Source organism: Homo sapiens, chromosome 19 (genome assembly GCF_000001405.40).
Source record: "Homo sapiens chromosome 19, GRCh38.p14 Primary Assembly".
Classification (NCBI taxonomy): domain Eukaryota; kingdom Metazoa; phylum Chordata; class Mammalia; order Primates; family Hominidae; genus Homo; species Homo sapiens.
In genome coordinates, this window is record NC_000019.10 from 4364664 (window position 1) to 4388624 (window position 23961).

Below are 23961 nucleotides of genomic sequence, written 5' to 3' on the forward strand. Positions count from 1 at the left end.
TGTGATCCGCCCGCCTCGGCCTCCCAAAGTGTTGGGATTACAGGCGTGAGCCACCGCACCCGGTTTTTGTTTTGTTTTGTTTTGTTTTGTTTTTTCATAGTCTCGGCTCACTGCAACCTCCACCTCCTGGGTTCAAGTGATTCTCCTGCCTCAGCCTCCCGAGTAGCTGGGGTTACAGGCATGCACTACCACACCCGGCTAATTGTGTGTGTGTGTGTGTGTGTGTGTGTGTGTGTATATATATATATATATATTTTTTTTTTTTTAGTAGAAGCGGGGTGGGGTTTCTCCATATTGGTCTTGCTGGTCTCGAATTCCCGATCTCAGGTGATCCACCTGCCTTGGCCTCCCAAAGTGTTGGGATTACAGGCATGAGCCACCACACTTGGCCCCATCCCAACTTCTAACAGCCCCCCAACACTCTAAGCCCAGGGCCCGGAAATTGGAACTCAGGGCAAAACAAAGGATCCTAAAATCCGAATCGATGCTGGACGTTAAACCAGACCCTCCAATGCTCCTAAAAGGGCCTAGGTTTGCCCTTAACAGGTGGAAGGACAGATGCTGGGGGGTCCAGGCCCTGGGGAAGCAGCTGGCTTGAGTTGGGGAAGGTCTGGAGCTACAGGAAGGGGCCCTATCAGCTGCTGGCCAGTGCTGGATGGGTTGGTCTGTGCAGTCTCCTGCACCTCTGCAGCTGGAAAGCTGTGGGGGCCACTGTACGTCCCCGGCACTCAGCACATGCAGGGCCTGGACCTGCCCTGCCTGTGTTGAGGTGTGGCCTCCAGGGACGGTGGGCGTGGCTTCCAGAGAGCACCACTCACCAAAGTTGGACTCGCCGCCCAGCTCCTTCCCGTGGCGGATCATGCACTCGCCCAGAAGCCCCTCCGACTGCGGGTAGCCGGGGTTCTTCACCTGGCCCCGGATCTTGGACACCGTGTTGAGCATGGTCAGCTTAGCCCGCGAGGCTGGGATAGGATGGCCAGGTGGGTGTGGGCTGTGAGGCCTGCACTCCTCTGCCCTGGCAGACTGCAGCCCCCACATCTCCTCCCCACCCTTGCTTCCTGTGCCTGTGGACAGCCTAGGCCACACAAAGCACAGTGGAATCCCCAGAGGGTCCCTTCCCTGCTCCTGCTAGCCTCAAAGGAGCTGGCAGCGGGTGGAGAGGTGACCAAGCTCCTCAGGGGGCAAAACCTCCTCCTTCCAAGGGCTGCTCCTCTTGGAACGTGGCTATGACCCCTCATCTGGGGGGTGCCAGGGAGGAGGCGCAGCAGTGATGTGCAGCGGGGGGTGGTTGAGGCCAAGGCTCCCGGGGTGGGTGATGAGCTGTGTCCCTTCCGCTGCCCGCTTGGGTCTGCTCCTGGCAGGGCCTGAGTGGACACTGCTGGGTGTGCGTCTGCCCCCTGTCCGTGGCCTCCTATGGAGCCAGCATTTGGGTTTTCCTTGGGGAAAAGCCCGTCTCTCAGCCAGGGAGACCCAGTCCCAAGCCCAAGAGGTGAAGTCCAGGCCAGGGGCACTGGGGAGGGGCGGCCAATACAAATGGATCCCACAAGTAAGCTGGGGGAGAGGCTCCCTGCCAGGACTGCTGGCTGGAAGAGGGGTTGAAGGCTGGGACGGCCCTGAGGAACCAGTCGGCATGAGAGTGAAGCCAACAGAGGGGCTGAGCTGCTGGTTGAGGTGGAAAGGCAGCATGCAGCACCAAGGATGGCCTCTGCACTCCGGGATCCAGCTGTGCCTGAAGCCCACAACCCATGAGCCTGGCGGTTCTGTCATCCCCTGCCTTCCCTCTGACACAGAGGCCAGAGGGCCTGGGGCAGGCCCTGGCAGTGGCTGGAGCACCCACCTGGGTTGGGCTGCAGGTACTCGATGGTCCTGGCCAGCACTTCTGTCACCGCCTTGCTGGTGACATCCACCTTCTGTGAAGAGAAGCAGCATATAAGACTCCACAGCCAGTGGGGGCCCAAGGCACACAAGACCCCCGCTGCTGCACCGCCTCCTGCCCTAAGAGCCCATACCAGGACCCCCCAACCCCCTCTCCATGTCTTCAGCTCAGCCATGTCCCCACAGCTGCCTGCCCACGGCAGGGGAGAGAGCTGGTGCCCGTCAAGTCCAGCTGACGAGGCCCCCACACCACCCCATCTCTCCACACCTGCCGGGCCCCATCACTCCAGACCCAGGCCCATCAAGGTTGGCCGCCTCCACTATGCCCGGCAGAGGTCAGGCCCCAGCAGTGCCACCACCACACAGAGCACGCAGTTTCTTCCTCACCTTCTCCATCTCTTTGAAGTCATCATCCAGCTTGGTCCCCTCGGCCCCTCCGACCTTCTCACTGACCAGCTAGAGGACAGAAGAGGGGAAACGCTGTGAGCCCAGGGGTAGGAGGAAGAAGAGGACAGGAGGCCCTGAGCCGCCTTCCAGCCACATCGCATCCACAGCTGGAGGCAGGAGGCCAAGTGATCAGGACACACACCTCAGGCACTGCCGTGGGCACCCCAGGGCCACACGCTGCCTGCAGAGCAGGGTGGGCCTGCAGGGGGAGGGGGAGGGTGGGGGTGGCCTGCCCACCTGTGTGTGTCCCGACTGCCACTCACATACCCACTGGGGACCCTGCCACAGTAGGCCCCATCTGGGCCACGGTGGAGTCCAGAGCCTCAGCCTGAGAACACATGGCTCAGAAGACACTGCTTCCAGAAGCGCCTACACAAACATCCCCACAGATAGCAATGTGGGGATCTGCCCCCATCCTTGAGTATGTGGGGTCTACTTAAAAAAAAAAATCCTGCCAGCTTGGCTGGGAGAGGCAGCAGGAGCTGACAGTTACGAGAAGAGGTGCAGGCAGCCGGGCAGGGAGGCCGCCATTCTCCTGTGCTCTGGTGCCCGTGTCTGCAGGATGGGACAGCCCAGCCCTTGCCCCATGTGGACACTGAGTTTCACAAGGCAGTCAACACAGGCCTGGCACACCTTGGTCCTCACGGCTCTCAGCTACGGTGAAAGCGATGACAATGACAGGCACTTACAGCGTCTTTCCTCGTGTGGTGGGAAGGCAGAAGCAAGCACTGAATTCCCAAACCACTCCCTCTGACAGCGCCTGGGATGCGAAAAACAGCCCTGAAATGTCCCATGGAACATGGCGGGAACCACTGAACCCCAGCACCGCTGTCTGAGCACAGGCGTTGCTTTCTTCACCCCACGTATCCCATGTGTGCCTGGCGCCAAGGGATGCCGCACAGAGTGAGGATGGACAGTGTGAGGCCCTTCCCAGCACACAGCGCTTCATGAAGAGCCGAGTGGCTGCCAGGCCCTGCCACAAATGGAGGCTCCCAGAGGGAGGCCGCCTGAGGTCACAAGCTTGGCCCTGCCCTCTGGGGGCCAAGTGTCACAGGGTGTGCCATCTCTGAAGTCATCGGCAAATTTAACATCCCGGGTCTGATCACTTGTGTGAAGACGTGCACACACGGCCTGGGCAGGAGAGTGAGGTGTTGCGTGCCGTGGGCCATGGCCTGTGCCCCTGGTGCTCCCCAGGTCTGATTGGTGCTTGCCTGCCCCGAGCTGTCACAAGACGTGGCCAAGGGATGCCATGAGGGTCCGTGTGGTGCCACACTGCGTTGGCTGTGTGGGGCTGGGGGGTGTCCAGCAGGGCAGTCAGGAGTTTAGGACCCAGCCTGGGAGGAAGTGACCCAAGAGCAGGAAGTGCGGGGGCAGGAGAAGCTTGAGCCTGGGGCTCTGCCCACGCCAGGCACCTGGTGTACCCTCTAGCCCATGCCTGGAGGTCACAGCCCAAGGCACCATGAGTGCAAATGCCCCCAACCCCAAGTTCTGCAAAAGGTAGCCTGCCCGGAGTACACGGCTGGTCTTGTGTCCTGGCAACCTGCCCAAAAAGACACCAGCCCCTTTGCCAAGGAATTCCTGGCCCTCCTCCAAGGCTTGGCTCTGGAAGCCCCCACACCACGGGACTGTCCTCACCCACGCATCGGGACCCTTTCTGTCCACCTGCCTTCATGTGCGGGGTGTGCCGGGCATTCAGTGAGCACAGGCCCCATGCCTCTGACCCCTGTCCCTTTCCTGCCTGTGGGTTGGTGGCTCTCAACTCAGCCACACAGCACCTTGGAAGCTTCTTAAAAATCCCCTCGTTGGCCGGGCGCGGTGACTCATGCCTGTAATCCCAGCACTTTGGGAGGCTGAGGCAGGCGGATCATGAGGTCAGGAGATCGAGACCATCCTGGCTAACACAGTGAAACCCCGTCTCTACTAAAAATACAAAAAAATTAGCCGGGCCTGATGGCGGGTGCCTGTAGTCCCAGCTACTCGGGAGGCTGAGGTAGGAGAATGGTGTGAACCCGGGAGGTGGAGCTTGCAGTCAGCAGAGATCCAGCCACTGCACTCCAGCCTAGGCGACAGAGCAAGACTCCATCTCAAAAGAAAGAAGAAAGAAAAAAAAAATCACCTCGTCACACCCACCGCGGGAGGGCTGACTCTGGCACAGGTGAGAAGCAGGAACTGTCCCTTGCGGGGCAGGAGAGTGGGGCTGCCCTCCATTTCTGCTGAAGGCATTAGGAGGAAGGAGCCCCCCCTCCCTAGGTGTTTTTGGGGCGTTCCACTCTATTTCCTGGGACAGTTTCACTTCTTTTGATTGTGGCGAGAGAGGGCGTGCTCAGAGCCAGCGGCTGCCGGAGAGGGAAATGAGTGGCTGATGTGAGACTGGACTCTTCTGGGAAGCCGGGAGGAGAACTGAAGCCAGCGGGCTGCGAAACCACACCTTCTGGGCGGAGGCCACCCCGGCCCCACGACCTGCCCAGGCAGGACCCAGTGTGCAGGCTGGCAGGAGTGGCTCCGTCAGGGCCCTTCCCCAGCCCCCTGCCTCTCACAGGGCAGGAGGAGAGGCCCTACCGGCGAGGACCACATCCTGCCTCTGAGGGGAGGGGCTGGGGACCCGCCACGGTACCAAAGACCCACCTGGTGGCCTCTGGCTCTGGCCCTGGCCCCACCTGCCCATCTCACCTGGGAATCCAGGACCCTGCCTTCCTGAGCCCCAGGACGACTTCCTGAACCCCCACAACCGCCTGACTCCTCGCACCCCTGACACCCGGGAGGCTGTGCCCTAACTACCCGGGTCCCTCTGCTCAGCTCCAGCCAAGTCCCTTGTGGTGACTGATGGTCCCCCACGGGCCAGGCACTGGGCAGGGGACACAACCCTGTAAGGCCCCTTCTCTCCAAGGCTTATGGGCTAGAAACCAGCACAGATGGACACAGGGATGAGCAGCCACAAGGGAAACACGGGAAAAGCAAGGCAGCCGGGCCACGTGCAGCGCCGGCCGCAAGCGCGGAAACCAAGCGTGGGCTCCTGCCCGCTGGGGCCCTACTCACTGCGGTCTCCACACCAGCACACTGCTGAGCACGGAGGGGACCGAGAGTCTGCGGCAGAGCTGGGCGCCACGGGGAGGCTCACCAGAGGGCGCCTCTGGGCTCGCTGTCAGGAGCGAGTGTTCCTAACCCTGGTGCCATCTGCCAGGCAAGAGCTGCCTGTTGTGGGGCAGCCAGCCCCAATGCCCCCGCATCAGAGACCCTACCGGTGGGGAGGGAGGACTGAGGCCATGGTCCCAGCAGTCCATTCCTGCCGAGGGAGACTCTGCAGGCTGGCTGTAGCCCTGACTAGTGCAGCGGACTCAGCAGTGGCAATGACAGCTCCGCACTCGAGTCCATCCCATACCCACAAGGCTCGCCTCCTGTTCCCACCCCGCATGGCAGGAAACGGAGGAAAATAATGGGGCCACTCAGTAGCCAGGGACCCAACAGGGCTCAGGGGTGAGACCACCCTCCGCTGACTGAACCTGCATCAGGGTGGCAGGGTGGGTGGGGGCCCCCTCCCCACTCTCCCACAGGGCCCCACCTGGACGGGGTCAGAGTACCAGCTGCAAACCCCGAGTGACCAACCGCAGGCCCCACAAGGGCTGCCATCCTGAGAGCAACACCAGCGCCTTCTCTCCCCATGCCTGGAACAAACAGGCCGAGCCCAAGAGGGAACAGTCTCCAAGACTCTGCCCCTGCTTCAGATGCCGGCTGGCCTCCCACAGAGGCTGTGACATGTCCCCGCCTGGAGCAGGGAGAAGTGAGGTTTGGCCAACCCTGCCAGGCGAGGACCAGGGCTGAGAAGTCACTATGGGAGAGGCCCCGGCTCAGTCAGGCCTGGCAGTGGCCTCTGGGAAGGATCCCACTGTTGCCTGCCGGACACTTCCCCAGGGTTTGGCAAGACTGGCTTGTGGTCTTTCAGATCTTTGCCCAGAGATGCCCAGCGGAGACCTGCCCACTCTATGCTCACGCATCCCACCTGCACCCGCCACCTGCATGCCGCATGGATTTTCTGCCTGACCCTGTACTCTGTCACCTGTGAGCCAGGCACCTGGGAAACGAGCAAGCTGGACACGAAGATGGGGTTTTGCCCCAGAGCATGGGACTCTTGTCCCCCTGGGAGAAGGGGGCTATTCCTTTGAAGCCTGGCATTCATTAGAGTTTAGACCTTTGGCTCTCTTTGGAGGGGAGCAAGGGATGTGACACACAGAACAGAGAATACAAGGTGGAAAAATACAGAAATGAACTGTGAAGACACTGTGGACTGAGAGTCAGGACAGGGCTACCGTAGGCAGGAGAATCCCAGGTTTTACCCAGAGGGGTGTGGGCAGCTGCCCTGTGCCCGGCAGGCACAGCTGTGGTGGCCACTTGGCAGGAGCAGGAGGAAAATTCCGAATCCTGCCGAGTGGAGCTGGCTGCTGCCGATGGGCGGCCTTGGGATTTAAACATCTCAGCGGGGAAACCTGATCCACACAGCACGGAACACAAATGCCCGTCTCGGGCTTGGTGCCCCAGCAGACTATCTGCTCTGATGAATTCACAGGGTTTTGTTTTTTTTTCTCTTTTAAAGAAGAAAGCCAGCGTGGGGGAGGGCAAGGGAGGGCTGCTGTGGCCCAGCCTGCAGGGATGCGCCACATTTGCCCGCAGAGGGGTCGGCCCCAGGGTCCTCAGGTCTCACTGGCAGTCATGCTGTGGTGCTTGGTAATTTCCAGGTTCACAGCAGAGTTCACGGGTCCTCCCTCGGCTGGGGAGCGGGTCTCTGGCTGGTGTCTGCCTGCCCGTCGGCATCGGTGGTGCTGTGGTGCTGCACGCTGTGCTACAGAGCCATCTCCGCGTCCCTCCCTGCAGTCCTCCTCAGCGGAATCTGTGAGCGCACAGACCACAGGGGCCTCGCCCAGTGCCAGGCACAGAGCGGAGAAATGGCAGGTGGGCACGGCTGGTCAACCGCAGCGAATACCTGTGACAAGGCCTCATCTTTTTTTTTCTTTTTAAAGAGGCAGGGGTCTCACTATGTTGCCCAGGCTGGTCTCAAACTCGGCCTCAAGCAATCCTACCTCAGCCTTCCAAGTGCCAAAACTACAGGCATGACACAGTGTGCCTGGCCAAGGCCATACATTTACAGGACTAGGGGACAACAGCCCCAGGACAAAGCATGGGTTGGGGAGCTGGGGACCATAGGAGGGGGTCCAGGCCCAGCCACCTGCAGGACCAGGGACAGGGCAGGCAGGACACACGGAACAAGGGCCACTATTCACAGTCCCATGTGCCAGCCCCCATGCTAGGCACTCTGTGCCCGGCCCCCAACGTCACAGAGGAGGAAGCTGAAGGGGACGTGGAGGAGGCGAGTGCTCAGCCCCTCCTCACAGTGGGCGCAGTTCTAACACTGCAGCTGTGTTCAAGGCCTGGTCAGCCATGGAAAGGGGCAAAGCCAGGGTAAGGCCTGCAGAAGCAGCAGAGTCCTTATCAGACCTCTGTGCAAAACAGCTGGAATACAGGGTCGGGGTGGAGGCCCCAGGGAGGGACGTAAGGATCCCTGTGGTGTAGAAAAAGCCCTGACGTGGGAAGAGGGCAGGGGCAAAGGATGTAGGGATGTATCATATCCGTGTGTCTCTGAACCCCTTTCCATCTGCAACGCCCTTCCCTGCTGGCCCAACACCTGGGAGCCACTGCCCAACACACATGGCCACCTCGAGTCCATCACAGCTTCTTTCCCATGAGTCAAAAAGTCGAAGACGCGCACAGCCTGGAGGCGGCCTGCTGCCCAGCGACACAGGAAGCCACTGGCCTTCGTGTCCCCTTTTCCATGTGGGCTCCCAGGCTCCTGGCTTGCTGATGTGTCTGTCTGTCCTTCCTGGAAACCTTCAGTGGCCCCAGTGGCATGGGGACTCTCCAGACCTGAGGCCCTTGCGTGCTGACTATGAAAGCTCGCCTATCTACAGGGGCGGCGCTGGCTGCAGGCAGCTCTGAGCTTTCCTGTGACAGTAAGTGCCTGGCATGGGTGGGGTTGTGGCCCCTGGGCTCCTGGTCTGGGAGCCTGCAGGGCATCCGCAGGTGAAAAGCAGGAGTAGTCATTCCTGCACATGCTCAGGGATGAGGCCAGGAGGGGGAGGGAGAGGAGCAGTGGGAGGGGGGGCCACAGGAGCACCACAGGTGCCAAGTGACCCTCACAGGTGCCAGGTGATCCTCATGGCCCGGCGGCGAGGAATCAGACGGCAGAAACCCACTCCCCAGCCCAAGGGAAGATGGAGGGAGCCTCTGCCTTGGGGCTGACTGGGTCATCACCCACTGTGTGTGATGCACGGAGGGAAGGGTCCCGACAGCCGGGGCTCCCCTCAGCATCTGGGAGTTCTGAGAGCCCTGGATTTGCCACTGTCCTTCGAGCCTCCAGCCTCTCAGTAGAGATCTCCCCTCCTGTCCATCAAGGCTGAATGGTTTTTAAAAAGCAGCCTTTGGGAACGGAGGCACTGAAAACAATGAATCAAGACAAAGTTTCTGAAATTATTTTCTCACGGAAACCCCAAACCAGACGCTGCCACCATGGCCAGATTGGGCACCCGGGGACAGCCACAGACCCACCTCTGTGGCGGGTCAGGCGCTCCTCTGGGAACCAAGCTCTGGCAGCAAAAGGACAGTGGCTCTGGAAGCCCCAGGCGTCCTCTCAGCCAAAGGGGCAGTCCCTTGGGCCTGGGCTGGCAACCGAGATACCGGCTCTGGACTGGAACCAGAATGGGCTCTGCCTCAGACCAGGCCACAGAGGGCCCCCTGAGAGCCCGGCTTCCCCACGGCCCCCAGGCTGTGGGGACAGGCCTGCCACAGACTTCCTGGCCAGAGGTGTGGCTGGGTGCCATGGTAGGGAAAGACAGCCAGACATTGGGGGCCATGGTGCGGCCCGGCCACCGCAGTCTAAATCGCCTTGGGGGTGCGTTTCTGCCAACTGTGGTGCTGGCCATTCATGCCGTCTCTCAGGCTGTCGGGCCCTGCCCTGCCTGACTCCTGGCTCTTGGAGCTGGAGAAAGGACTCTCAGATTGGCAGAGAGCGATAAATGCTTTGTTGTGTGCGCGGCAGCGAGCCGATGTCATTTGAAGTCACAGCACATGAAAATGAGGGGGAGAAAAAAACTTAGGCAAGAGAAATCCTCCAGATGGGCCCTGGAGGCCCCATCCAAGAGTCTGAGGCCAACACATCAGGGGAACTGGAAGCAGAGAGGGAATCAGCCACTGGAAAGAAGTCACGCAGACGAAGTGGTGACAGCCACGACAGGAAATTGCTCAGCGGTGGCCACAACAGAGTGGCAGCCAGGGGCCAGGGGCCAGCTCTGTGACCATCCCCGAGAGAGAAAGGGGACATTCAGGCCTGGTCTATGATGGTCTGGTGGCCGGAGGCTCCGTGAGGGCAGCCCCAGGGCCAGAAGGACCTCTCCTGTGCTGACAGCAAAGTCACCAGCGGGAGTCCAGCCCACACTGCCTTTCTGATGAGGCCTCCAGCTCTGGCTGCTGACTTTAAACCCTAAGGAACCCTGTGCAGGGCCTGCATCCCGGAAGGCCTCCACCAGCCCGAACCTGGCCCGTCCGCCCTAGATGGGGCAATCGGCGTTTCTCCCGGGACAGCCTCCTCCCTGGCCTCCTGGCCCTCGTCTGCATTGAGAGGCTTGGCCTCTGGTCCGCATGCTGCCCTTCCCGTGCTGTGGCCTTGCAGCCCGGCCTCTCCCCTGCTGTCCCCCTTGGCTCTGGCCTGGCCCCTGGGCCCCTGAGTCACCCCTGAGGTGACTCAGCAGTCCTTGGAAACGCATGCCGAGGACGCACCCTGCCTGGCCCAGCTCCACATGGGTGTGGGGGAGGCTGCGGGCTGCGCCTGGTGGCCGTATGGGGCCTAGGCTGGCCAGTGCTGCCCAATGGTGGGGGCTCCCTCACCGCCCGTCTGGCAGAAGCCATGGGCCACACGCTGTCCCAGCACATGGTGGCAGGGCGGTGACCTGGGCTCGGCTCTAATGACCGGCAGCCCTGGGGCTCCCATCACCACTACCAGTCTGCCCAGGAGGCAGCAGAGCACTGAGCCCGACCTGCTCCCCTCGGGCACCTACGAGACCCACCTGCCCCTCCATGCGTGGGGGAGAAGGGGTGCCCTCTGCTGTGGAAAGCTGGGACCTACTGTCTGTGGTGCGAGGCTGACCCCACAGAGCTCCAGGACAACCCCGAGAGGAGTGGACAGAGCCAGCCGGGCCCTCCAGCCCCCACCTGGCCCAGCTGCCGCCTCTGGGCAGATGTCTCCACTTGATAAACAGGACAGCTAAGGGCCTAGGAGAGACATGCCTGGCCCAAGGCCAGACAGCAGGAGTGGCTAGGAAGGTCAAGGGATCCCCACTGCAGGCCCCACCAACCCTGGCTCTGCCTGGAATGCAGTCAGGGCAGGTGGAAGGGGAGGGGCAACGCCCCAGGGCTGGGCGAGGAATCTGGGAGCAGGTGGGAAGCTCATGCTACCTTCCCAGGAGACGGGAGGACAGGCCTGCCAACCAGGGGGCTCAGCTATGTGGGACACACGCTCCCACCCTTGCCCTTGCACAGGGTTTCATCCAAACATGGAGATGCCAGTGAGTGCCTGGGGCTCCTCTCCCAGGAACAAACCACACCCAGAGCTCCAGCCCGAGCGAACACATCTACATGAAAATCAGCCTCATGCATCATGCATTGTAATTTCTCATCTTGGGGACCAGGCAGGAGGGCTGTGTGACATACAACTGGTAAAATCAGTTTCCGATGAAAACTTATAAAAGGAAAAAGCCAACCCACAAACAAATGAGGCGATAAATCCCCTGAGGCTCCGCCTGGCAGGGAAACACCAGCTCTGCAGCACTGAGCACAGGCTGGTGTTCCCACTGGGGGCAGCATGGAGGATCTGCGTCCAGGGGGCAGAGTGTGATGACATCACCCACATGCACAGGAACGATAAGGCTTTCTTAAAAAACGATCTTTTCTCAACAGCTCCTCAAAAGGAGCTGAGGCAATGCATAGCCCTGCAGGAAGAGACTGGAAATGGTCTTGGAGAGAGAACTGCGGGGCATGGTGACAGCGGTGAGAGGCTGCAGGTGCACAGATCTCAACGAGGGGCCGTGAGTTCCCTCACTCCCTGAGAGCTGAGGAGACTTGCCCGAAAGCCCAGAGCCCTTCCTGAGACACAGAAACCATCTTCACCATCTCTAAGATCCCTTCCATTTCTGAAGGACTTCCATTTCTTTGTGACTGTGGGCCACCATGGGCATGAGTCACCTGTCACCAGAGCCTGGTGTCCCTGTGCAGCTGTGCCAGGTGGGCAGAGGAGACAGGTGAAGGCACATTCCTCAGCGCCCGCTCACAGCTCTGCCCACCGTGCATTCTGTAGAGAACCTCAGCGCCCTCCTCCCTGCCGGCAGCCAGGCAGGGATTTAGGTGGTTTCTGTTTGGCCTCCAGTGCTTGCCTCTCCCGTGTCCTATCCGCCCAGACCTCAGACCTCAGAGAAGCCTCCTCCCACAGGAAGCTCTCCTGATTGATCCCCATCACTGGTCTCCTCACCTTCTCCCAACACACCACTGATGCCTCCTCTCTCGTGCGCCTGCCCCTTCACACTTCATCTTACACCCCCATCTGCCTGGGCGGCCCCCCCATCTCCCCTCAGAGCTTTTGCTCTCGCTGTTCCTTCTCCCTCACTGAGCCTCCCTGGATCTTCCCATGCTGGGTCTTAGCCACCAGGGCTCTGTCCATCCAAATGTCCCCATGGCTGCAAGGCTGCCCCACCCTCCTGCTATCCTCACGGGGCCTCGCATTCCTCTTGCTTGCTTGTTTTCGGGTCCCCTGCTGTCCCGTCTCAGACACAGGAAGCACTCTCCAATGCTTAGCGCCCTAGAATAAAGGACCCCGGGCAACCTCTTGGGGGTCCTCGCCACATCCCACCCCTTGACAGCAGCTAAGCTCCGGGGGCAGCAACTCCCCGCAGTGACCCGGAAGGCAGCCAGATGATACTCCTCCCATCACCTTCCCTTTTGTGGCTCGTGGACGGTTCACCTGGGCTGACACTGATGGAGGCCGCCAGGCCCATTCCCAGCCTGGAGCTGGCTCCCTCCCCAGAGAGCTGCAAGGTTGGGAAAATTTGCAAAGAACAAAACGTGAGCTAGGCAGGCCTAGCCTGACTCACATCCTGGGGACCCAGCTACCACATTTGGGCAGTTTCTTATCCAGGAGGATGCCCGGGAACAGTGACAGGTCTGAGGTCTGGGCGGATAGGACACGGGAGAGGCAAGCACTGGAGGCCAAACAGAAACCGCCTAAATCCCTGCCTGGCTGCCAGCAGGGAGGAGGGCACTGAGGTTCTCTACAGAATGCGTGGTGGGCAGAGCTGTGAGCGGGCACTGAGGAATGTGCCTTCACCTGTCTCCTCTGCCTATCTGGCACACTTACACAGGGACACCAGGCTCTGGTGACAGGTGACTCATGCCCATGGTGGCCCACAGTCACGAAGACAGGTTTTCTGAGGTGTGGCTACCAAAAGCACCCAGGCCAGAAGTCATCCCGGGTGGCACGGGGCAGGGCAGGGGGTGGTGAGAGGCGGTCAGCAGCTCTGCACAGCCAGCCGCGCCTGTGCACTGGGGCCCTCTGCGAGCATTAGGTGCCAGCAGCTGTCACCTTGCAGTGGCCACTCCTGCCCCCTCGCCAGGTCACGTGCACTGGCTCTGGCGCATGGGTGCCCCTGGCCGCTCAGAGGCACTGCCTGCTCCTTACACAGTGATGTCGGTGGTGGAAACCCGGGCTGGGAATCTCAGAATTGCTGACCACGGCCTCAGCACAGAGGAAGCAGGCAAATGGCCCGAGTCCCCCCACCATCTCCCCTGCAGCGAGAAGACTGCAGCCTCTCCTGTCTGAAGACTCGCGTTTGGGTCCCGGGCCTGGGAGATTCTGGCGGGTGCAGCCTGCTTCCCAGGGCCCCTTCTGCCCCGCTGTGGCTCATCGTCCTTGGAGGGACACCACTCGGGACAGGCTCTCGTCGCCAACCCACCCCAAGTTCTCTGTCCTCAAACACAAGCTTCCTGCCAGCAGGGCCAGGCACAGGGACAGGGGTGGCAGAGGCAGCACAGGGCCTGGCACCCAGGTGGCGTCAGTCACTGAGTATATGGTGAGATAATAAATACTAGTTGTTGAGATAACAAATAAATAAGAAGCAGCCCTGCCCTCGGGAGCTCAGGTGTGCCAGTAACACATCAGAGCAAAGGTGTGCCGTAACGCCACGAGGCAAGCAGGCTGACGTGGGATTAGGGTGCCTGGATGGGCGACACCGGGACTGGATGTGGTTCCAGCTCTGCCGTTCGGGGCTGTGACTCTGAGCAGGAACACAAACCCCTCTGAGCCTCGGTTTTCTCAACCATCTCAGGCGTGGATGTGCTTTAGAAACTACACACCACCAGGCCAGGTGCGGTGGCTCACACCTGTAATCCCAGCACTTTGGGAAACCGAGACGGGCAGATCACCTGAGGTCAGGAGTTTGAGACCAGCCTGACCAACAGGGAGAAACCCCATCTCTACTAAAAATACAAAAATTAGCTGGGCATGGTGGTGCATGCCTGTAATCCCAGCTACTTGGGAGGCTGAGGCAGCAGAATCGCTTGAACCCGGGAGGCGGAGGTTGTGGTGAGCTGAGATCGCGCCATTGTACTCCAGCCTGGGCAACAAGAGTAAAACTCTCTCAAAAAATAAAAATAAAAAAAACAGAAACCATACACCACCCTACGATCCTAGGCTACTGTGCACTGAGCAACTGAGTCCCGAGGAATGATGGGTGTGGGGCCGGCCAGGGGTTTCACCTCCGCCCCACGACACTGCCTCTGAGCCCAGTTTTTCTGGAGCAAGAGGCTTCATGCAGGCCCTTAAGAAGAAGAAGAAAAGGAACACACCTTACCTGAGTCACACCCATCTCCAAGGGACCCTGGTGAGGCACTCACAGGACCACGCACACCAGGAAAAACTGGCTACAGCTGGCTGATCGTGCACGAAATCTCATGTTGCGCCCAGAGCGCCTCCAGATCAGCCACAGAGTCAAGTCCCGGTTCCAAAATGCTCACAGCACGGGACATATTTGTCAATGGCCGTGACACAAATTCTGAGGTTCTACTGGCGGACGAGGGCGGGAGGAAAGAAGCAAAGGACTGCCAGGCTTGGTGGCTCATGCCTGTAATCCCAGCACTTTAGGAGGTCAAGGAAGCAGATCACCTGAGATTGGGAGTTCAAGACCAGCCTGGCCAACATGGTGAAACCCCAGGCATGGTGGCTCATGCCTGTAATCCCAGCTACTTGGGAGGCTGAGGCAGGAGAATTTCTTGAACCCAGCAGGTGGGGGTTGCTGTGAGCCAAGATCACACCACTGCACTCCTGCCTGGGTGACAGCGCAAGATGCTGTCTCAAAAAAAAAAAAAAAATAAAGCAGCAAAGGACCAAGAGAGAAAATGACTCAACTTAAAAAGAAGGTTGGTAGAAAATTCCCCACATCCCTGACACACACCTGCTGCTGTCTCACACCCCAGGCAGCTGCCACAGCCGCTGCGCCCTCTCTCCTGTTTCCCAATCAACCTGCATTCCTGTCTTCCTACCAGCTGGGAACTTGGCACAGCTGCCCATCCTGAACGCAACTCCTTCCCTGGGGATGTCCCGCCCTCCCTGCACCTCTGCACACCCACGCTCTTCCTGCCTTCGAGAACGTGCCTCTGTGCATGGGCGAGCCTGTGGCCGTGACTGTGACCCCTCACTGCCAGGATGGCTGCTGCTGCGACGTCAACACAAAGCACGCCGCTCTGCCTTGTGCTTACTTGTATTTTGGGGGGAAAGCAGCCCTGCCCCCCAAGGCTTGCTTCTCTGTTGTCATCGCCCCAAAGGACAAGGGACTGGTGCTGCCACTTCCTGAGCTACGAGCAGTAAGAATATTCAAATCTCTCCCACCCTGCCATCATGGTCTGGTAGCCAGGCTCCTCCCAGGGTGGCTTCCACTTCCCTGGAAGGACTGGCCCCACGGATGCTGCATGGGCTCAGGTTGGAGGGGAAGGACACGGCAGGGCAGACCCATGCTGCTGGGGCCCCAGTGCTGGGGGCCTCCCTCCAACACCTGCCTAAGGGATGCCCAGGGCAGGGCTCTCTCCCTGCACCGGAAACTCTCCCTCCTTTCCTTGCTTCTTCCTACATCCAAATTCTGCCCATTCTTCAAAGCCACGGTCTGGAGCCATCACTGAGGTCCAAGTCAGGCTGAATGAGTATTTACCTGTGCCAGGTACAGTGGAAAAGGAAAGACACGTAACCCAGGCTCGCACACACACAAGAACCTAAGGCCCTATGACAGACAGGACGCCAGCGGGGAGGGGCCGCTTCCTCCTTGCGGGGAGGGAGCCAGGGTGAGGCAGGAAGGAGGTGGCCGTGGCCGTGGGCTTTTAAGGATGGGTGGGATCTGGGAGCACGCAGGAGAGAGGGCATGACATGAGCCTGCAGCAGTGAGGCTGGCTTGGAAACATGCCCAGGACAAGGTTTGGAAGTGCCCGTTTGGAAGATGTGGGAGGGCGTCACGGGTGGGTATCTGGCTCCAGCTCTTGGACTGGAAAAAACGTGCGTCAAACTCATGAATTGTCAACTGTCTTCAGGACAGTCGGCGGTTTTGAACATGATCTGCTCTGGTGTTTCTGGGGTGTGTGGTCCCCTCAGGCTTAGACGGGCAATAGCATGTTCTGTGTAAACCTGAATGAGGGGACGGTTTTCAAAATCCAAGTTAAGTAACGGGGACTGAATTTTCTATCAGTCCACTAGCTTTTAAGTCACCAAGGTGGGATTCCAGAGGCCAGGGAACAACTTCTGCGAAGTTGAAGATTAGTTCCACAGAGTGTCACAGCCAAGGAAGGCTGGATGGAACCCCAGCTCTTAGCAGGGCACCTCAAGCCAACATGGCAAAGTGAACCGGTCCTATTTCCTTGTTGATTTCAGGGATGAGAGCTAACAGAGGAAAAAACAACTCTGTTTCCCCACCGGCCTCCTCTCCCTCTCTCTGTTCCCCCAGCCTCTCTGTCCCCCTGCCTCTCTCTGTCCCCTCTCTCTGTCCCCTTTGCCTCTGTCCCCCTGCCTCTCTCTATCCCCCTGCCTCTCTGTTCCCCTGCCTCTGTCTCCCCTGACTCTCTCTGTCCCCCTGCCTCTCTCTCCCATCTCTCTCTGTCCCCTCTGCCTCTGTCTCCCATCTCTCTCTGTCCCCTCTGCCTCTCTCTGTCCCCCTACCTCTGTCTCCCGTCTCCCTCTGTCCCCTCTGCCTCTCTCTGTCCCCCTATGTCTCCCGTCTCTCTGTCCCCTCTGCCTCTCTCTGTCCCCTCTGCCTGTCTCCCATCTGTCCCCTCTGCCTCTCTCTGTCCCCCTACCTCTGTCTCCCCTCTCTCTGTCCCCTCTGCCTCTCTGTCCCCCTACCTCTGTCTCCCATCTCTCTGTCCCCTCTGCCTCTCTCCGTTCTCCTGCCTCTGTCTCCCCCGCCTCTCTGTCCCCCTGCTTCTCTGTCTCCCGTCTCTGTCCCCCTGCCTCTCTCTGTTCCCCCTGCCTCTCTCTGTCTACCCTGCCTCCGTCTCCCCTGCCTCTGTCTCCCCTGTCCCTCTCCACCCCCTCTGCCTCTCTTCATTTCCCCCGCCTCTCTGTCACCCCCCACACGCCTTTTTTTTTTTTTTTTTTTTTTGAGACAGAGTCTCGCTCTGTTGCCTAGCTGGAGTGCAGTGGCGCGATCTTGGCTCACTGCAAGCTCCACCTCCCGGGTTCACAACATTCTCCTGCCTCAGCCTCCCGAGTAGCTGGGACTACAGGCACCCGCCGCCACGCCCCGCTAATTTTTTGTATTTTTTAGTAGAGACGGGGTTTCACCATGTTAGCCAGGATGGTCTCGATGACCACAACAAATCGCCACAAACCTAGTGACTTACAGCCACACACGACGTCTTCAACGACATATTAAAGCAACACAAAGTCTTCACTAGGTCAGACCCTGACAGGGATCACCCCGGGCTAAGATTGAGATACTATGAGCTGCACTCTATTCTGGGGGTTCTGGGGCTTTCCTGCCTTTTCCAGAATCCAGAGGCCACCCACATCCATTGGCTCACGGCCCCCTCCTCCCTCCATTGTCAGAGCTAGCAGGCGCTGGCCCCTCAACAGCTATCTCTTGTTCTCTCTTCCGTTGTCTCAGCTCCCTGTGACCACAGCAGGGGAAGGTGCTCCGCTTTCTTTTTTTTTTTTTTTTTTTTTTGAGACGGAGTCTCGCTCTGTCACCCAGGCTGGAGTGCAGTGGCGCGATCTCGGCTCACTGCAAGCTCCGCCTCCCGGGTTCACGCCATTCTCCTGCCTCAGCCTCCCGAGTAGCTGGGACTACAGGCGCCCACTACCACGCCCGGCTAATTTTTTGTATTTTTAGTAGAGACGGGGTTTCACCGTGTTAGCCAGGATGGTCTCGATCTCCTGACCTCGTGATCCGCCTGCCTCGGCCTCCCAAAGTGCTGGGATTACAGGCGTGAGCCACCGCGCCCGGCCCAGGTGCTCCGCTTTCTGAGGGCCTTCTGATGGGACTGGGCCCTTGTGGATAAGCCAGGATAATCTCCCACCCCCAGGTCCGTACCCTTTGTCCCATCTGCAAAGTCCCATTTTCCATGTAAGGGAACAGTCACAGTTCCAGGGGTGGAGGTGAGGGGCAGCCGTGGCGGGTGCTGTCCTGCTTGCCACAGGAGCTCATCACTTCTCGTTATTCGTGGCAGCTCTGTTCTAGAAAGCTACCTCAAGCACAGAGTTGGCCAGTACTGAGCCACTGTTCAGAGGGGAAACACACAGCTAGGTTTCTGTGAGCCTCTGCTCACAACATGTTCATCAAATGGTCACTATGTAACCCAGTTTTGTGTATTTCATTTTTTCTTTTTGAGACAGAGTCTCACTCTGTCGCCCAGGCTGGAGTACAGTGGCACAATCTTGGCTCACTGCAACCTCTGCCTCCCGGGTTCAAGTGAGTCTCCAGCCTCAGGCTTCTGAGTAATTGTGATTACAAGTACACACCACCACGCCTGGCTAATTTTGTATTTTTAATAGAGGCAGGGTTTCACCATGTTGGCCAGGCTGGTCTCGAACTCCTGACCTCAAGTGATCCACCTGCCTCAGCCTCCCAAAATGCTGGGATTACAGGCATGAGCCACCACGCCTGGACATTTTTTTTTTTTTTGAGACCAGGTCTTGCTCTGTCACCCAGGCTAGAGTGCAGTGGCGTGATCATGGCTCACTGCAGCCTTGACTTCCCAAGCTCAATCAATCCTCTGGCCTCAGTCTCCCGAGTAGCTGGGACTACAGGCGTGCATCACCACACAGAGTTATTTTTTTTTTTATTTTTTATTTTTTGGTATTTTTGTAGAGACGGGGTTTCACTTTGTTGCCCATGCTGGTCTCAAACTCCCAGGCTCAAGCCATCCTCCTGCCTCAGCCTTCCAAAGTGCTGGGTGACAGGCATGAGCCGCTGCACCTGTCCTTTATGCGTATTTCCTTAGTTCATATTTACTGTGATTCACCCACACTGAACTCATGGACACGGAGCTATCACTCCTGCCTGAGAGAACTGCTCTCACACATGGTTTCTCTGTGAGGCTCATCCCAGCCTCCTGGCACTGAGGAACACGAGACGGCACTGCTGCATGATGCTGGGACCATTCTCAACAGCGAAATCACCAACAAAATCCCAAAAATGTGAGAAACATGGCGCTAAAAGCCTGCAAATCCATGCCGGAACACAGCGTGAGAGCCGGGAAAAGGCAGCGTGATCCACGCCGGAACACAATGCGAGAGCCGGGAGAAGGCAGAGTGATCCACGCCAGAACACAGCGTTGAGAGCTAGGAGAAGGCAGTGTGGCTTTGTTTGACCTCGGCTAGGAACATATGCGATGGGTGACAGATTTTTTGCTGCTCTGCACTTGTCTGCAAAAGACTGCAAAAGGAATGATTTGGGGCTACAAATCAATCTTATCAAGTAGGTGAATTTGCACAGGGAGCACGTGAGTCCTGGCCCAAGCTGCCCTCTGCGACAAGGCTGGGTGCTAGGTGCTTTCTGTGAGCGCGGCCTCACTGTACACAACAAAACTGAAAACGCAGGCTCCAGAGGAATTTACAGGCTGGAGGGGATGTTACATCCGTGAGGAGGATGCCCAGCAGAAGCAGAGTCCTCAGAGCTGATGGCGCAGGAGCCCCCCAGTTCATCCCGCTCCGGACCACACAGAGCTAACCCTGAGCTGGGAGCCTCCTCCCCGCCCACTTGGCTTCCTGGCCAAGGCCCCCAGGCACATACAGCACGGTGGAGGAGGGTTGAAATAACACACTTTACGAGTGCGCAACACACGATATTGCTAGCCACCGGTCCAGGACTTTCGGTCATGCAAATTGAACAGGTTGTTTTTTTCCAGGCTAGGACTGCTGAAAACCTATGTGGCTATTTTTCTTTTTTTGAAGGCAGGGTCTCGCTATATTGCCTAGGCTGGAGTGCAGTGGCTATTCATGGGCATAGTCATCAAGCACTACAGCAGATGATCATATTAAGCAAGGTACCGCACTGGAGAAGCTCTCAGATACATGCCACAGGGGACCGCTCACTGCCAGGCTGTGTGAAAATGCAGAAACTTGGAGACTCTAAATGTCCACTGGCTGGAGAACGGATAGACACACTGTGGAATAACCACGAGGGAAAGCCACGCAGCTGCGGATGCGAGTGGAGCCTCGTGTGTCAGTGTGAACGGTACTCACAAGCAGTGCTCAGCCTAAAAGTAGGGTGAGCAGGTGCGGTGGCTTACGCCTGTAATCCCAGCACTCTGGGAGGCCAAAGCAGGCAGATTGCTGGAGCTCAGGAGTTCGAGACTAGCCTGGCCAACATGGTGAAACCTTGTCCCTACTAAAAATATGAAAATTATCCGGGTGTGGTGGTTGGTGTCTGTAATCCCAGCTACTCGGGAGGCTGAGGCAGGAGAATTGCTTGAGCCTGGGAGCGGGAGGTTGCAGTGAGCTGAGATTGCGCCATTGCACTCCAGCCTGGGTGACGAGAGACTCCATCTCAAAAAAAAAAAAAAAAACTAGGGTACGAGAAACCAAGCAAGAAAGCACGTGATCCTGTTGACAGGCAGTGTGGACCGCCACACAACCCTGCGTGTTTTGGCGCAGTGAACGTGCGCAGTGAAGGCACGCCGGCCCTGCTCTGGCTTCCTTGGGATGGGGTGGGGGCACCTGCTCATCTGCTGGTCATTCTTAGCTGCCTTTCTGGATCTGAAACCCTTTATGATACAACCTTCATGAGGTGCCTGAACAAGGGAGGTGCCCTGTGCCACATACTGGTGCCGACCAGCGTGTGGCCCAGGGAATGTGTTCTGAATGCAGTAAGAGGCAACCTCTCCTGGAAGGAGGGCGACCCCCTACCGGCTCCTCTGACAGCCGAGTGGACTCCTGGGCTCCAGAAACGTGATTGCAGCAGGCAGACCAAAGGTCTTTCTCCTGCCCTCCCTCCCAGCAGCACTCTTTCCTTCCGGGCCCCAAAGACCCTCCCTGGCTGTGCAGCTGCCCACTATGGAACCCTCAGCCAGTCTAGAGGTGGCACAGGGACCCCACTCAACAGAGGGGCCCACTGGTGCCTTCTTCTGACAGGCACAGAGTGCTCTGGGGCTAGCCGGGGAGGCTGCTGTGGGAAGGCTGGGAGTGGGAGAACACTGGAAAAATACACAGGATTCTGCAAGTATGAAATAAAAATGTAAAAGCTAGGGCACAGCGCAGCATTCCAGCGGCCTCCGAGCCAGCCTCTGCAGTGGGCAGCACATACCTCCCAGACACCCACACTACGCTCAGCCAGGGGTCCGACAGCTCCAAGGCTCCTCGTGGGTGGAACGCTGACTTGACCAGAGTCAGCAAGAAGCAAGATACTCTGCAGTTCTGGGGGTTGTCCTTCCTTCCTAAAATAATAGCAGGGATTCTCAACCTTAGAGAAAACCATCAGAGGCCTCAGGAGAGGATGAAGATGATCTTATGCCAGGGTGGGTGAAGGTTGGGAGATGGGGAAATTCCAACCAGGTCCCTGGGCTGCCCTCTTCTGAGCCACAAAGGCTGGCCTTGAAGGGCCAGGGCTGCCCATCTGTTTCAAACAATCGGGACTCTGATGAGTGAGGCTGTTAGGCTGATGGATGCCTGCCTGAGTCAGCTGTGGGGCCTCATCCCACAGAGGCGGGTGGCAAGGGATTGCGGCGAGGGCGGGCAGAAAGTTCCCAGAGCTTCCTTCCGCAGGGGGCTTCCTGAGAATAAGGGTCTCTGCTTAGTGCTGGGGCAAAGTCCCGAAATGACAGCAGAAAAATAATCAGTCAGCAGTTCTGCTTCCAGCACGCAGGGCTGGATGGGGGTGTCCTGGAGGAAGATATTTGCATTACTGCTTGGGTGATGTTTGGGAACTCTTTTTTTTTTTTATTTCTTTTTCACTTTTTTTTTTTTTTTTTTGGAGAACAGGGTCTTGCTATACTGCCCAGGCAGATCTCAAACTCCCGGGCTCAAGCGCTCCTCCTGCCTCTGCCTCCCTCAGAGCTGGGATTACAGGCACGAGCCACCGTGCCCAACAATGTTTGGGAACTCCTTAAGAATGCTGACTGCTGGGTCTCCAGCTTCCATGCCTTTCCCCAGGCACTCAGGACCTGGCTGTTACCAACCCATCAGCCCTCTTTCCTGAGCCCAAATCCCAGTGTGCAGGATCCCCCGATCCTAAGAGGCGAGACTGCAGAGGGCATGGCGGTGGGCCCCAAGGGAAAAGGCAACGTGCCTTCCGTGAGGCATTTCCCACAGCGTGGCAGCTAACACAAGCATAAGGCACGTGAATCACGTGGTCAGAACACAACTCCGCTGCAATTCCCCTTCTGTATTTCTTTTTCTTTTTCTTTTGAGATGGAGTCTTGCTCTGTCGCCCAGGCTGGAGTGCAGTGGTGCAATCTTGGCTCACTGCAAGCTCTGCCTCCCGGGTTCACGCCATACTCCTGGCTCAGCCTCCCGAGTAGCTGGGACTACAGGTGCCCGCCACCACATCCAGTTAATTCTTTGTATTTTTAGCAGAGACACGGTTTCACCGTGTTAGCCAGGATGGTCTCGATCTCCTGACCTCGTGATCTGCCCGCCTCGCCCTCCCAAAGTGCTGGGATTACAGGCATGAGCCACCGCGCCTGGCCCCTCTTCTGTATTTCTTATTCTGGCAAGAAGGAACTTCCAGGTGGGCACTACTATAGTACAGGCTTTGTTTTTGTTTTTTTTAGGCAGGGTCTTGCTCTGTTGCCCAGGCTGGAGGGCAGCGGCATGATGATAGCTCACCGCAGCCTCAAACTCCTGGACTTAAGTGATCCTCCCACCTCAGCCTACCAAGTAGCTGGGCTACAGGTGTGCACCGCTATGACTGGCTAATTTAATTTTTTGTACAGACGGGGTTTCATTGTGTTGCCCAAATGGGCTTGAACAACTGGGCTAAAGCAATCCTGCCTCAGCCTCCCTAAGTGCTGGGATTACAGGCAAGAATCACCACGTCCAGCCCGAACAGCTCTTTCACAAGAGAGCACACCTCAGGCTCAGGGGTGGGGTATCCAGCAAAATTTCACTCTATTGTTTTGCTGCTGTTGTATTTGTTATTCCACTTACTGTGCGGGGTTTTTTGTGTTGTTTTGTTTTTGAGGCAGAGTGCAGTGGTGCTATCTTGGCTCAAGGCAACCTTCACCTCGCAGGTTCCAGCGATTCGCCTGCCTCAGCCTCCCGAGTAGCGGGGATTACAGATATGCATTACTACGCCCGACGAATTTTGTTTGTTTTTGTTTTTGTTTTTTTGAGACAGAGTCTCGCTCTGTCGCCAGGCTGGAGTGCACTGGCGCGATCTCAGCTCACTGCAACCTCTGCCTCCTGAGTTCAAGCGATTCTCCCGCCTCAGCCTCCTGAGTAGCTGGGATTACAGCCATGCGCCACCCACGCCCAGCTAATTTTTGTATTTTTAGTAGAGATGGGGTTTCACCATGTTGGCCAGTCTAGTCTCAAACTCCTGACCTTGTGATCCACCTGCCTCGGCCTCCCAAAGTGCTGGGATTACAGGTGTGAGCCATCGTGTCCGGCCTATTCCAGTTACTGTTATTGAGCAAGGAAAAATACCACGATCCCCTTTAAAATACATTTTAAAAGTGATAAAATAAAAGTAATTTAAGAGGAAAGAGGCCGAATCAGCTAATGGGTTCAAGCTGAAGGACAGGCGATGAACCCTGGCTGTCATTTCAGGGCATCACCGCTGGCCAGCTGCCTGCTGTGGTCTGCGAGTCGTGGGAGTGTCACATTTGAACGCTGGGACAGGGGACGCAGGCTTAGAAGACAGGTACAGAGAGGGGCAGCGGAAGCACAGGAGACAGCAGGCTCAGAGACAGAAGGGGCCATCCACAGGGAGAAGTGGGAGGAGCCGCAGGGCCTATTGTGGCAATCAGAGAGAAGTCACTGCAGCAACTGGGCACAGAGGCCAGGGAGAGAGCTGCAGGATGGGTGGCCAGGCCCAGCCATGGCAAAAGTCCTAAGAATCTTGGCAAACAGGGCTG

General features: G+C 58.1%; 1 protein-coding gene across 5 annotated transcripts in view, besides 21 other annotated features; it reads right to left on the minus strand.

Moving 5' to 3' along the window:
- Window positions 1-23961, minus strand: part of SH3GL1 (SH3 domain containing GRB2 like 1, endophilin A2) — a 40178-nt gene that overhangs the window by 4294 nt on the left and 11923 nt on the right. For 2 of the 5 annotated variants that reach the window (NM_003025.4, XM_047439222.1), the window contains 3 exons: window positions 2263-2331; window positions 1838-1910; window positions 819-962 (listed from right to left, as the gene is read on the minus strand). In NM_003025.4, coding sequence (NP_003016.1) covers window positions 819-962; window positions 1838-1910; window positions 2263-2331 — 286 coding nt within the window. Of the gene's footprint in view, window positions 1-818; window positions 963-1837; window positions 1911-2262; window positions 2332-14261; window positions 15133-23961 lie in introns of those variants that run through there. The other 3 variants (XM_017027146.2, NM_001199944.2, NM_001199943.2) reach the window with 3 other exon arrangements.
- Window positions 1259-2180: an enhancer, noted in NCBI's record as "H3K27ac-H3K4me1 hESC enhancer chr19:4365919-4366840 (GRCh37/hg19 assembly coordinates)". NCBI's record gives its function as "activates a minimal SCP1, AML or CMV promoter by ChIP-STARR-seq in primed H9 embryonic stem cells {active_cell/tissue: H9 hESC(primed)}" and the evidence as "EXISTENCE:reporter gene assay evidence [ECO:0000049][PMID:30033119]".
- Window positions 4329-5278: an enhancer, noted in NCBI's record as "H3K27ac-H3K4me1 hESC enhancer chr19:4368989-4369938 (GRCh37/hg19 assembly coordinates)". NCBI's record gives its function as "activates a minimal SCP1, AML or CMV promoter by ChIP-STARR-seq in naive H9 embryonic stem cells {active_cell/tissue: H9 hESC(naive)}" and the evidence as "EXISTENCE:reporter gene assay evidence [ECO:0000049][PMID:30033119]".
- Window positions 4637-4826: an enhancer, noted in NCBI's record as "active region_13768". NCBI's record gives its function as "activates an Ori minimal core promoter by ATAC-STARR-seq in GM12878 lymphoblastoid cells {active_cell/tissue: GM12878}" and the evidence as "EXISTENCE:reporter gene assay evidence [ECO:0000049][PMID:35858748]".
- Window positions 5279-6226: an enhancer, noted in NCBI's record as "H3K27ac-H3K4me1 hESC enhancer chr19:4369939-4370886 (GRCh37/hg19 assembly coordinates)". NCBI's record gives its function as "activates a minimal SCP1, AML or CMV promoter by ChIP-STARR-seq in primed H9 embryonic stem cells {active_cell/tissue: H9 hESC(primed)}" and the evidence as "EXISTENCE:reporter gene assay evidence [ECO:0000049][PMID:30033119]".
- Window positions 7771-8504: an enhancer, noted in NCBI's record as "H3K4me1 hESC enhancer chr19:4372431-4373164 (GRCh37/hg19 assembly coordinates)". NCBI's record gives its function as "activates a minimal SCP1, AML or CMV promoter by ChIP-STARR-seq in naive H9 embryonic stem cells {active_cell/tissue: H9 hESC(naive)}" and the evidence as "EXISTENCE:reporter gene assay evidence [ECO:0000049][PMID:30033119]".
- Window positions 8505-9238: an enhancer, noted in NCBI's record as "H3K4me1 hESC enhancer chr19:4373165-4373898 (GRCh37/hg19 assembly coordinates)". NCBI's record gives its function as "activates a minimal SCP1, AML or CMV promoter by ChIP-STARR-seq in naive H9 embryonic stem cells {active_cell/tissue: H9 hESC(naive)}" and the evidence as "EXISTENCE:reporter gene assay evidence [ECO:0000049][PMID:30033119]".
- Window positions 9929-10223: an enhancer, noted in NCBI's record as "tiled region #14493; K562 Activating DNase unmatched - State 1:Tss". NCBI's record gives its function as "weakly activates a minimal TATA promoter and a strong SV40 promoter by Sharpr-MPRA in K562 cells {active_cell/tissue: K562}" and the evidence as "EXISTENCE:reporter gene assay evidence [ECO:0000049][PMID:27701403]".
- Window positions 9929-11439: a biological region, named in NCBI's record as "NANOG-H3K27ac-H3K4me1 hESC enhancers GRCh37_chr19:4374633-4375365 and GRCh37_chr19:4375366-4376099".
- Window positions 9973-10705: an enhancer, noted in NCBI's record as "NANOG-H3K27ac-H3K4me1 hESC enhancer chr19:4374633-4375365 (GRCh37/hg19 assembly coordinates)". NCBI's record gives its function as "activates a minimal SCP1, AML or CMV promoter by ChIP-STARR-seq in naive H9 embryonic stem cells {active_cell/tissue: H9 hESC(naive)}" and the evidence as "EXISTENCE:reporter gene assay evidence [ECO:0000049][PMID:30033119]".
- Window positions 9989-10283: an enhancer, noted in NCBI's record as "tiled region #262; HepG2 Activating DNase unmatched - State 5:Enh, and K562 Activating DNase unmatched - State 1:Tss". NCBI's record gives its function as "activates a minimal TATA promoter and a strong SV40 promoter by Sharpr-MPRA in HepG2 and K562 cells {active_cell/tissue: HepG2 | K562}" and the evidence as "EXISTENCE:reporter gene assay evidence [ECO:0000049][PMID:27701403]".
- Window positions 10609-10903: a silencer, noted in NCBI's record as "tiled region #8255; HepG2 Repressive non-DNase unmatched - State 1:Tss, and K562 Repressive non-DNase unmatched - State 1:Tss". NCBI's record gives its function as "represses a minimal TATA promoter and a strong SV40 promoter by Sharpr-MPRA in HepG2 and K562 cells {active_cell/tissue: HepG2 | K562}" and the evidence as "EXISTENCE:reporter gene assay evidence [ECO:0000049][PMID:27701403]".
- Window positions 10706-11439: an enhancer, noted in NCBI's record as "NANOG-H3K27ac-H3K4me1 hESC enhancer chr19:4375366-4376099 (GRCh37/hg19 assembly coordinates)". NCBI's record gives its function as "activates a minimal SCP1, AML or CMV promoter by ChIP-STARR-seq in naive H9 embryonic stem cells {active_cell/tissue: H9 hESC(naive)}" and the evidence as "EXISTENCE:reporter gene assay evidence [ECO:0000049][PMID:30033119]".
- Window positions 11015-11124: an enhancer, noted in NCBI's record as "active region_13769". NCBI's record gives its function as "activates an Ori minimal core promoter by ATAC-STARR-seq in GM12878 lymphoblastoid cells {active_cell/tissue: GM12878}" and the evidence as "EXISTENCE:reporter gene assay evidence [ECO:0000049][PMID:35858748]".
- Window positions 11089-11383: an enhancer, noted in NCBI's record as "tiled region #6457; K562 Activating DNase unmatched - State 1:Tss, and HepG2 Activating non-DNase unmatched - State 5:Enh". NCBI's record gives its function as "activates a minimal TATA promoter and a strong SV40 promoter by Sharpr-MPRA in K562 cells, with weaker activation in HepG2 cells {active_cell/tissue: HepG2 | K562}" and the evidence as "EXISTENCE:reporter gene assay evidence [ECO:0000049][PMID:27701403]".
- Window positions 11109-11403: an enhancer, noted in NCBI's record as "tiled region #465; K562 Activating DNase unmatched - State 1:Tss". NCBI's record gives its function as "activates a minimal TATA promoter and a strong SV40 promoter by Sharpr-MPRA in K562 cells {active_cell/tissue: K562}" and the evidence as "EXISTENCE:reporter gene assay evidence [ECO:0000049][PMID:27701403]".
- Window positions 11205-11394: an enhancer, noted in NCBI's record as "active region_13770". NCBI's record gives its function as "activates an Ori minimal core promoter by ATAC-STARR-seq in GM12878 lymphoblastoid cells {active_cell/tissue: GM12878}" and the evidence as "EXISTENCE:reporter gene assay evidence [ECO:0000049][PMID:35858748]".
- Window positions 12907-13639: an enhancer, noted in NCBI's record as "H3K27ac-H3K4me1 hESC enhancer chr19:4377567-4378299 (GRCh37/hg19 assembly coordinates)". NCBI's record gives its function as "activates a minimal SCP1, AML or CMV promoter by ChIP-STARR-seq in naive H9 embryonic stem cells {active_cell/tissue: H9 hESC(naive)}" and the evidence as "EXISTENCE:reporter gene assay evidence [ECO:0000049][PMID:30033119]".
- Window positions 14625-14704: an enhancer, noted in NCBI's record as "active region_13771". NCBI's record gives its function as "activates an Ori minimal core promoter by ATAC-STARR-seq in GM12878 lymphoblastoid cells {active_cell/tissue: GM12878}" and the evidence as "EXISTENCE:reporter gene assay evidence [ECO:0000049][PMID:35858748]".
- Window positions 15165-15214: an enhancer, noted in NCBI's record as "active region_13772". NCBI's record gives its function as "activates an Ori minimal core promoter by ATAC-STARR-seq in GM12878 lymphoblastoid cells {active_cell/tissue: GM12878}" and the evidence as "EXISTENCE:reporter gene assay evidence [ECO:0000049][PMID:35858748]".
- Window positions 15265-15364: an enhancer, noted in NCBI's record as "active region_13773". NCBI's record gives its function as "activates an Ori minimal core promoter by ATAC-STARR-seq in GM12878 lymphoblastoid cells {active_cell/tissue: GM12878}" and the evidence as "EXISTENCE:reporter gene assay evidence [ECO:0000049][PMID:35858748]".
- Window positions 21822-22322: an enhancer, noted in NCBI's record as "H3K27ac hESC enhancer chr19:4386482-4386982 (GRCh37/hg19 assembly coordinates)". NCBI's record gives its function as "activates a minimal SCP1, AML or CMV promoter by ChIP-STARR-seq in primed H9 embryonic stem cells {active_cell/tissue: H9 hESC(primed)}" and the evidence as "EXISTENCE:reporter gene assay evidence [ECO:0000049][PMID:30033119]".